This window comes from Homo sapiens, chromosome 10 (assembly GCF_000001405.40).
Source record: "Homo sapiens chromosome 10, GRCh38.p14 Primary Assembly".
In the NCBI taxonomy this organism is placed as follows: domain Eukaryota; kingdom Metazoa; phylum Chordata; class Mammalia; order Primates; family Hominidae; genus Homo; species Homo sapiens.
The window spans coordinates 48,048,872-48,060,645 of record NC_000010.11 but is presented as its reverse complement, the minus strand read 5'-3'; the positions used below and the strand labels follow the sequence as shown (position 1 = coordinate 48,060,645).

The following is an 11,774-nucleotide window of genomic DNA, read 5'->3' as shown; positions in this document are numbered from 1 at the left end:
GTCTGTTTTATCTGATATAAGAATAGTGACCCCTGCTTTCGTTTTGTTTTCCATTTGCATGATAGATCTTTCTCCATCCCTTTACTTTGAGCCTGTGGGTGTTCTTACATGTGAGATGGGTCTCTTGAAGACAGAATATGGTTGGGCCTTATTTTTTTAATCCATTTTGCCATCCTAAGCCTTTTAAGTTGGGTATTTAGACCATTTGCCTTCAAGGTTTATATCAATATGTGAGATTTTGATGCTGTCATCACATTGTTGGCTGGTTGCTTTGTAGATTTGATTGTGTATCTCCTTTATGGTGTCTGTGGGCCATGTACTTGTGTTTTTGTGGTGCCAGGTACTGTTCTTTCATTTCCACATTTAGCACTTCCTTAAGGACTTCTTGTAAGACTGGTCTAGTGCTCATGAATTTCCTTAGCTTTGATTGTCTGAAAAGGATTTTATTTCTCCTTTGCTTATGAAGCTTTCTTTGGAAGAATATCAAATTATTGTTTGGAGTTTATTTTATTTAATAATGCTGAAAATAGGTCCACAGTTTCTTCTCACTTGTAAGTTTCTGCTGAGAGGTCTACTCCTAGCCTGATGGGATTTCCTTTGTAAGTAAGCTGACCTTTCTCTCTAGCTGCGGTAAATAGCCACTATGGAGACTAAGGACCAGAAGAAACACAGAAAGAAAAACAGTGGACCCAAAGCTGCAAAGAAAAAGAAGTGGCATCTGCAGGATCTCCAGCTAGGAGACGAAGAAAATGCCCAGAAGAGAAATGCCAATGCTTTTGCAGTTCAGTCTGCTGTGTGGATGTCTCGATCCTTTCACAGGTGTGTTTAGCTACAGTCTGATGGTTCTTCCATTGAATCTTTTTAAATAGTTAGGAGCCTCTCACAGGTGACATTTGGATTCACAAGTCTAGTCCAGCTCCAAAGGACGTGGAGATGCATGCTGTGTGACTTTTACTAAAACGTGAGAAGACTTGCCATAGAAGCTGCCTTGCCTCCAGCATCTGCACACTGGTTGGTGTTTCTTGCCCAAGATACAAGAATTTATAGAATTTGATTCTTCCTAAACTTTAAACTGTTTCTATGGTGATAAGTGTGCTTTTTCCCTCTGGATATGTTTTACAAAGTTGTAATATAAAATACAAAAATTACAATATGTAATACTAACATAGCTTTATTTAGTGAGTCCTTATGATATTCTTAGCAGTGTACTTTAAACGTTATTCAACTAAATCCTTCCAGCAGCCTTACCAGAGTAGGAATCATTCTTGCCCTCATTTTATGGACAAGAAAACTGAGGTCAAGAAAACAAGTTACCTCCAATCATACAACCAGTAAGTCGGAGAGCCAAATTTAACTCCAGAACCTCTGCTCTTATCTGTTATGATGCGCTGCCTCAGTATTTACCTTTTGTTTTTTAAAAAACTATAAAAATCACTCATAAAACAGTCAGATTTAAGGAGTGTTTAATTTTCAACTCTATACTATTGAAGTCATCTTGTTACATCTTTATTGAACAGCAATTGATTTGGATAGGGGTCAGAAGTTAATAATTGACAAGTTACTTATATTTTTATATTGTCTGTTGTACTCTCTATAAAATATACTAAAGTACTCATATCTGTAATTATACTAAAAAAAAGTCTACTTATAAGGTTGATACCTTTTACTCTATTTTAAAAGTGAGTTTACTTTTTTTTTCTTTTTTAAATAAATAGGACTCTGGATTTGAAGACACAAAAGCATCATATTCCAGTGGTTGATGGAACTCCACTAGAGCTGCCACCAATACCGGTAGTGGTGACGGGGCCTCCAAAGTTGGAAAGAGCACTTTGATATAATGCCTCATTCGGAACTTCACCTGGCAGAAGTTCACCGAGATCAGAGGCCCTGTGACGATCGTGTCAGGTAGGAGATGGTGCCACAGACACAGACTTGGCGTGGCTGTTGTCATCTGAGGGACATGCGTGTGTTTGTTGTTTTCTTGAGTGGAACATGTTAAATATTGTCATATCATGTTACCTCTCTCTTACTTTTACTAAGTTAGCTATAACTTCATAAAAGGATAAGTTCCCAGAGATAAGGATGTGATACATACCTTATCCTGACTGCTCTATGGCTTTGCCAAGCATGTTCCTTGGAAGGGCCTGACAGGCCTGGTCACTGCGAACACACCATTTAACAGACAGCACGTACCTCCTATGTGCCAGGTGCACATGCTTGCCCTTATGAAGCCACATGCTGGTGGAAGTGCGCGTTTTCTCTTTTTCCTATGAGAATTTGTCTGCTTTGGGAGATGGTGACCTTTCCAAGTTTGAGGGAAGATGAAACAAACATCCAGTGGTAGAATGGCAATGTACACTCTGAAATCTCTTATTATTGCAGTAATATAGTTGGATTGAGGCTTTTCTTTATCTTTGGCGCATCCATATTTTATTTTCCTTTTTTTGAGACAGAGTCTTGCTCTGTGGCACAGGCTGGAATGCAGTGGTGTGATTACAGCTCACTGCAGCCTTAACCTCCCAGGCTCAAGCAATCCTCCTACCTTAGCCTCCTGTGAGTAGTGTATGCCACCATGCCTGGCTAATTTTTCTTTTTTTTCCTTTTTTTAAATTTTTATGTTTTTGTAGAGATGGGATTTCCCCATGTGGCCCAGGCTGGTCTCAAAACTCCTGGGCTCAAGGGATCCACCTGCCCTGGTCTCCCAAGGTGCCAGGACTACAGGCATGAGCCACTGTGCCCAGCCAATATTTTCTTGATCATTTTCTTATTACCTTAATTTAGAAATAATTATCATTGTAAATATTCTGTTGCATTATGTTTGAGGATGTTTTTAGCGATAGTGGGAATACAGGAAATTTTGATAGAGGTGAAGACATTGGCCTGCAGCTGAACAGCAAGATCATGGTTATCGTGGAGCCTGTCTAGTCAGAATTTTCCCTGTTTTCAGCACTTTTATTCATCTGGGTAGGCTTTTGATATTATCTAAATTTAGAACACAGGAAGAAAAACAGGATGGAATTTATTTTACCAGTTTTTGCCTATAAAAATGAACTTCTGGTACACTCCTGTAAACGTATGTGGTGTTTTACTGGATGCAGTTAAAAAATGAAAATTAAGAGTTGATGGTTAGAGTTTTTTCAGGGTCTTTTTAAAGTAAAATTTTCATCTTTTCACTTATAGGTAAAAAGCGCAGACTCACCATTATTGAATGTGGGTGTGACATTAACATGATGATTGATCTGGCTGAAGTAGCAGATCTGGTAAGTGAGCAGGGGCAGCCTGGGGTGCTGATGGAGACTTACAGCATTGTGATAGGTTATTTACCCCGTGATGAAGGGAAGAGAGTTTTGTGATTATTAAAAGGATCATGGTCATTATCAGGGATATAGTAGATGTGATTGAATTGATGATGATAATAATAATAGTAATAAATGTTGTCATATTAATAATACAAATGGAATGTGCACAATGAAATGTGTTCCAAAATCTAAAAGCAGATCACAGGATGGAGAAAACCTTTAATGAACACAGCTAATAAGAGCTCATTAACATTCATACATATATATGTACAAATATATCATAGTAAGTACCATTTCTTCTTGGATCCTTCCTGGATCCAAATTTAGCTTACATAAACCCTTGATACACCCTTGAGGTGAGTAGGTATTATCTATAGTTTACATAAGATGAAATAGAGCCTCCCAGCAGTTAAGTAACTTGTGTGAAGATGGGACCCTTGTTCCTGATGGTTCTAGAACCTTCATCCTTAATGATAATGCTAAAGTAAGTACATGAATTGCCTGAAGAAGTGGTCAGAGTTTATCAATAGAAAATTTAGATAGTACTCAGCGTGTGGAAAATGTACATTTATGGAAATGATAATGTTCACTATCTCTGATATTCTATGATCTTTTACATTAGCAAAAAAAAAAAAAAAAAAAAAAAAGGCCAGACACAGTGGCTCATGCCTGTAATCCCAGCACTTTGGGAGACCGAAGTGGGTGAATCACCTGAGGTCGGGAGTTCGAGACCAGCCTGACCAACATGCAAAAACCCCGTCTCTACTAAAAATACAAAATTAGACGGGTGAGGTGGTGCATGCCTGTAATCCCAGTTACTTAGGAGGCTGAGGCAGGAGAATCGCTTCAACCCAGGAGATGGAGGTTGCGGTGAGGCGAGATCGTGCCATTGCACTCTAGCCTGGGCAACAAGAGTGAAATTCTGTCTCAAAAAAAAAAAAAAAAATTAGCAAAAAAATAAGCCATATTGATTAGGAGGTGTAGGGTGACAGATACCTTGTTTTTTTCATTTTTATTTAGTTTTTGCTAGAGCTACAGATTTTATACTTTGGCCTAGGAAGACTCCTAAAATATAAAGGAAAAAGTAATACAGATTTTAAAGTTGTGCCATTGTAATGTCAGAAAACTAAATAACATTCAAATTTTGAACATGTAATGCTACTATTAGTAAAAATAAGTGTAATTAATGTAAAGTTGTGTAAAGATTACTAAACTTGTATACTTGAAATGATTGAATAGTTCATAGAAGTCATTTGTTTCTCTTTTATTTAAAATGTAGCAAGTTTCTAATTTTAAACACATACATATTAAGAGATGCATTTACATTTTTTTATTTTTAGTTATTATGGATACATAATAGTTGTACATATTTATGGGGTACATGTAGTATTTTGATAGAAGCATACAATGTGTGATGATCAAATCAGGGTAATTCAGAGATCCGTCACTTCAAACATTTATCATTTGTTTGTGTTAGGAACATTTTAATTTCATTCTTTTAGTTATTCTGAATTATATAATAAATTATAGTCACCCTATTGTGCTGTTGGACACTAGAATTTATTCTATCTAACTGTGTTTTTGTACCTGTTAACCTTTCCCTCTTTGTCCCTCCCTCCCTGCTCCCCTTCCCAGCCTCTTAACCATCATTGAGAGAGATGCCTATGTAAATCTTAAGATTTTCAAAAGGAGCACACACATTTGGTAAAGCACTCTAACTGTAATGCACGGTACACACAATGCGCATTTTCTCTTTCCTTGCTGTAACCTCTGGTCTCTCAGGTCCCTGCAGACCTTTATATATATGTATATCCTTCCAGATACATATAAACACACATGCCACCCTTTAAAAACACAAACGGTAGCTTATTTTATACACTGTTCTATGCTTTGCTCTTTTCATGTAATATACTTGAAGGTATATAATCAGTAAGTACTGTAGCTCTGCCTCCTTCTTTTTAATATAACATTCCATTCTGTGGATGCACCATAATTTATTTAGTCTAGCTTATGTTGATTGCTCTGCTCTGGGTTGTCAAAGCCTCCTGAGTACAGCAGAGGCACACACAGTACGTGGATTTGGGTGTGTACGTGCGTGTGTGGATTAGGGGAGTGACACTGGCTTAGATGGCAAAGATTGGCAGCTGAGGGACTGTTTGCTCCCTTTTATTCCTGACCCTACAACCAGCTGCTTGTCCCTTGGCACTCTGGCATCAGATGTGGTGTGAGGATATTCCACCTGTTCTTTGAGCTGGTCCAGTGTTGCTGGAGAGCTCTGCTTGCTGCCTTGGTCTGCAGTGGCAGCTGTGCTTTCCTACAAGCCCAACTTCATATATTCTGTGGTTTTGGGTTTTGAATGTTTCCTAGTTTAATCAAGGATGGGCATTTCTGTTTCCATTTTGTGTTATTTTTAGTTATCCATGGAAAGATAAAAACAGAACTATCTTTAGTATTAAAATTACAAGTTTCCAGGAATCAGTTCTGAAATTATTTTGCATCTTTGAAGTGTCTTAAATTTTAAAAATTGGTCTTGGCCAGGTGCGGTGGCTCACGCCTGTAATCCCAGCACTTCGGAGGCCAAGGCAGGCAGATCACGGGGTCAGGAGATCGAGACCATCCTGGTGAACACTGTGAAACCCTGTCTCTACTAAAAAAATACAAAAAAAATAGCCGGGCGTGGTGGTGGGCGCCTGTAGTCCCAGCTACTCAGGAGGCTGAGGCAGAAGAATGGCATGAATCCGGGGGGCGGAGCTTGCGCTGAGCCGAGATCTAGCCACTGCACTCCAGCCTGGGCAACAGAGCGAGACTCTGTCTCAAAAAAGAAAAAAAAAATTGGTCTTATCTGCTTATATTTTCTTATAGACTACCATTCATCATAATCTTTCTGTTTTTTTACTTAATTCTAAACTGGTAGCTATTTCAAATATTTCTGAGCAATTGAGTTACACAAATTAACATACAAGATAGAGGTTTCCATTGCATACTTCCCAGCAAAAAAAACAGATTTTTTTTTTTTTTCTGTGAGGAGATTGAAAGAAGAGGTTGGTTTTCTGTACATATTTAATATATTTCATTGATTATCACTTTCTTCCCATTCTTTGGATGTCAGAGACCTGTTATTTGGCTTAAAAATACATTACAGAAAACTTCATTTCTTTAAATTAGGATTTCTTAGGTAAGGGCCAGGTTAGACCCAGCCTTTTCTGAGTTACTTCTCATGCATTAGAATTCTTAAAATGGATGTTTATATCCTAGTGGCCTTGTCTTATGGTTGCCTTTTAGAGCAAGTCAGAGGGTGGTGGTTTCTCTGTCTGGGTGATGCCTGTGTAGTCATTTGATTTAGTCTGGAGTGGGACTTTTCTGTCGAGGGCCAGATAGTGAATATTTTCAGCTTTGTGGATCATATCTTCTGCAGCTACTTAGCTCTGCAGTTGTAGTGCACAGGCGGCCATAGACAATATGTAAAGGAATTAATGTGGCTATGTTCCAATAAAACTTTAGTTACAAACACAGGTGATGGGCTGGATTTGGCCCGTGGGCCAGTTGCCAACCCCTAGTGTAGGTGGTCTGTTTTGGTAGTTTCTTCGAGAAATAATGTGTTGTGCTTGTAGGTACTGATGCTTATAGATGCCAGCTTTGGGTTTGAAATGGAAATGTTTGAGTTTCTAAACATCTGTCAAGCACATGGCTTTCCTAAAATTCTGGGAGTTCTCACCCACCTCGACTCCTTCAAGCATAACAAGCAACTGAAGAAGACAAAGAAGCGATTAAAACACAGGTTCTGGACAGAAGTTTACCAGGTAGGAAGAGAAATAATTGTTAGACACTAACAGTATAATCCTTTAAAACCAGACTAAAGAGGCCAGGCACAGTGGCTCATGCCTGTAATCCCAGCACTTTGGGAGGCAGAGTCAGGTGGATCACTTGAGGCCAGGAGTTTCGAGCTCAGGGCAATATGGCCAAACCCTGTCTCTACTCAAAAGGCAAAAATTAGTCGGGTGTGGTGGCATGCACCTGTAATCCCAGCTACTAGGGAGGCTGAGACGTGAGAATTGCTCAAAGCTGGGAGGCAGAGGGTGGAGTGAGCTGAGAGTGCACCACTGCACTCCAGCCTGGGTGACAGAGTGAGACTCCATCTCAAACAAACAAACAAACAAACAAACAAACAAAAAGACTGAAGAGACATTACTAAACATCTCTCTAGGAATTGCCTCCTGAATTCCCTTTGTGTATGTGTTCCCAGTCTCTGGAAGGTGTCCCTCAAGAGAGTGGTTATTCTGGGCCTCTTGGTGTATCTCATTTGTCTCCGTACCTGCTGCACCAGGCAATGTCTGGGTGTTTTGGAGTCGGGACTTAATAGAGTACATCAGAAGTTTCTCCCAGTTACAGGACCAGGCACTGCCCCTTCCTTTCCATACTGCTGTGGTCCATCGGCCACAGAACCCTTTCTGTGCTCAGAGGCCTCACCTCCCTCTCCTCACCATACTTAGACAGATGCACCGGCTTGGTTGCAGAGCAGTCTGCCTCTGTGTGGTTCTAATAAGTCCTGAAAGAATCCAGCAAGGCTCTGGAAGCCTCAGGACAGTGGCTTTGCTGGAAGTCTCCCTTCTTAGGATTGCTTCTTGTTTAGAGCTTTTATTTTGTTGCAGTATTGACGAGAATTTAATTGAAATTTAATTTTTAATTTTCCTTTAATGTTTAGGTTGCCAAACTGTTCTACCTTTCTGGAATGGTGCATGGAGAATATCAAAACCAAGAAATCCACAATCTGGGCCATTTTATTACAGTTATGAAGTTTAGGCCTCTCATGGCAAACTTTTCACCCTTATATCCTGGCAGACAGGTAAAAAGTGATTGTAAACTTTTTCTTCCTGGGCCATGTATTTCAAAGCTAAAAAGGCTAGAAAAAGAACAGTGATAGGATTTATTTTGTGCCTATTTGAATAGTGGGGGTAGAAGTGCAGTTGATGGAAAATGTCTACTTATATCATTGCTCAAAGATGCTGTGCCTTTGGGAGTAAATTAATTATGAGATGTTTAGGAAAATGGGAGGACTTGAAAGCATTTAAGGCTACAGGATGTGGCCCCATCCTACGTTCAGCCTCGGTTTTCAGTGATGCTGCCTTCGTGCCCAGGTGCTGGAGTCCTTCGTGCGTGCCTTCAGTTTCCTTCCTTTGTGCTCTTCTTTGTGCTGTGATTTTCTCAGCCTGGAATACCCCTTTTCCACCTGCCAGAATCCAAGCCACAGTACAAATCCCAGAGCACAGGCTCACCCTCTTCCAGAAACGGATTTTCTGCATATGTTCTTCACTCTTCCCTGACCCCAGGTGGACGTCGTCTCCCATCTGGTGTCTTATGGAATGAATGTCACTTTCAGCCTAGAGACACAGTTGTGTGCCTGCCCCTTTTCCTCTGCTGGATGGTGAACGGTGCTTCCTTATTTCTGCATTTTCTAGTTCCTAAGTGATGTGCTTAGTGGACAAGAGTGTGATGAGTCATTGACACATGAAAGGAGGTATAGGAACTTTGGCATTCATTTCTGCTGTACGATTGAGTTTATTTTTCTAGGATGGAAGATTTGACAAACCCGGAGGATATCCAAACAAACATCAAATGTGACCGGCAGGTGTCACTTTATGGTTATTTAAGAGGAGCACACTTCAAAGATAAAAGCCAAATTCACATGCCAGGTATTCTCTTGTTGTAGAACATACTAGAATTGCACATAGGATTCTTGGGATGGCTTCATTTCTCAGGAAAAATGAAAAATGACCAAACAAGGGAAGATGGCCTTGCTGGAGGTTTTAAAAGTAAGCCAGCTATGTGTAGGCCTGCAAAGGTGTTACCGAATCCCTCTTCTCTGACCTCTTGTAGCTAGAGGGCCACTGTTCCAGTGTGGCACAATGCCCTTCTTTAGGGTCATGGGTTAAGCCCTTGGACTGTGGATCGTTTTTAACCCCCCAGTCAACAGTAGATACTTACTGACTTCTTGTCAGTTGAAGCTGGCTTTTTGGGTCCCGTCTTCCAGGGGTAGAACATTTTGCCATGAGTGACATCGGTTTCCTCCCAGACCCTTGTGTTCTTCCTGAATAACAAAAGAAGTGCTGTTTAAATAAGAAGGAGCAGCTGGTTTATGTGCCTGTTTCTGGAGTTGAGGGTGTGCTGTATGACAAAGACGCTGTCTGTGTTGACCTTGGTGGCAGCCACGGTTTTCAGGCATCAGTGAGGCAGGAGTCTTTGCTCTGAACTCTCATTATTCTTTCCTAATCTATTTTTTAATCAAAAAAAGTAATGTACTCAGCTTTTATTTATTGAAGATTTTTCTCTTGTACTTATAATAAAGGCCCAAATGCATATTGTCAATATGTAGAATAAAAAGAATACCATTTTTTCATTGTACCAAGCAGAAGAGTCCTGTCCTCCATGCCTCCTTGATCCGTGGCCCCAGCGCGGGCACTGCTGCCAGTGTGGCACCTGCACGGCTTATTTCTGTTTCTACAAAATCAGTGTGCTTTCCAGCTCTCGTTTGTCTTTTTCTTTTTCTCAATCACAGTGGTCTCCTCATTATTTTAAAGTGGATTTCCAATATTTATTTCTTAGTTCTGTAGTTGAATTTTATTGGGTTAAAAGCAGGGTTATTTAAAAATGTTAGAAAAGCTAGCACTGTTGTAGCACTGGAACTGAGGTTTTTCTAGCTAGGTGTTTAGGTTATCAGGTTATATACTCACTGAGCTTTGGACAAGTTTAATGGAGATGGGGATCCATTTCAAGCTTTGTTATAAGGATTTTCTTCTCTGGTGTTTGTGGCATTAAGAAAAGATCTCAGGAAATGTGTCTAAGATAATTTTGAGAAACTGAGTGAAACCAGTGTCTCTCCAGGATCTTTGTGCTTTCCTCACGTGCCCTTTCTTGGTGGCCTTGATAGGACAAGGTGGGGCTCACCCATGAGCTGGTCCAGAGTCTCATCTCCACCTACTCCACCATTGATGCCAAGATGGCTTCAAGTCGAGTGACGCTGCTTTCCAATTCCAAACCACTTGGGTCAGAGGCTATAGATAATCAAGGGTAAGTCTGCTTTTTTTCTATTTTTAATAAAAAGATATATTACAGAAGATCGTATCACCCATAATTCTGCCATCATAACACATTTTGGTGGGATTCATTCTATGTCGTTTTGTTTTTCTTTGTGTGTGCATGTGTCTCTGAGGGCTCTTCACTTACCTGACATTACAAGGGAGTCTTATCTTGAAAAAAAATACAGGATGCATTTTTCAACAGACTTCAAATATTCCTCAAATACCACGCCATCTTCCATAGGTTGCTTTTTTGGTTTTTCAGAGACCTGAGGCCACTTGGCTTTCTTTTGATGGCCAAAACACTAGAGCAGAGTCAGGGAGTTTGTGGCTGTCCAGAAGCCACATGCCTTGTCTCTGAAAGTTTTATTTAGATTATGTTGTATTATCTCCCATGGGTAGGTTTCCACTAATGTGTGGCTTATGTGAATTATTTTTCAGTCTGGGTTGGGAATTTGTATACCTTTATGCTTAGTGGATGTTTGCAAAACATTGATTTTGTTGTATTGATTTATGACTCCCAGTAAAATTTATCTGAAAATCTTGAGATAATGTAGTATATAATTTGTTACAATGTGCATAAACTACCTACCACAGTGCCTGACGTAATGAGTGTTATTAGCTGTTTTCATTTTTGCATATCCTTCTAGTCATCCTTGTCTACAAGAATACTCTCTTCTAATATAGCTACAGGTAAAATACATAATTTTATTTCTATATTCTGAGGATTTTTTTTCTATACAGTCTTTATGTAATCATGATTTTATTGTTACCAGTGTTTTTTTGTTATTGTGGCTTCTTTGTTTTTGTTTTTGTTTTTGTTTTTGTTTTGAGATAAGGTCTCACTTTGTCTCCCAGGCTGGAGTGCAGTGGTGTGATCTTGGCTCACTGCAGCCTTGAACTCCCAGGCTCAAGTGATCCTCCTGCTTCAGCCCCGCAAGTAGCTAGGACTACAGGAGTGCACCACCACTCCCGGCTAATTTTTTTTGTTCTGTTCTAGGGACGAGTTCTCACTATGTTGCCTAGGCTGGTCTCGAACTCCTGGGCTCAAGCAATCCTCCCGACTTGGCCTCCCAAAATCCTGGGATTACATATGTGAGCCACTATGCCTGGCCTGTTATTCCTGTATTCTAACTTATCCATCCCTTATGGTATGATTTTTAGTTTTTTCTAATTTATGTTTTCATACTTTTATCTATTGTGCTACGTTAAAAAGCTTCATATAGTTTTCTTTCATCCAGTGATTTTAGCCCCCTGATAATCTTCTCTATCAGTTATGGCACTGTTGACTCAAAATGGATGTTATTCCTCTGTCATTCCTTCTAAGTTTGTTACCTGGCATTTTTAACAAAGAGCTTTCTCTTCTCCCCTTTGTTTCAGCATCACGGCTGACTAATGCACT

General features: G+C 39.9%; 1 pseudogene; it reads left to right on the top strand.

Moving 5' to 3' along the window:
* BMS1P7 (BMS1 pseudogene 7) lies at window positions 630–10,365 on the top strand (annotated as a pseudogene).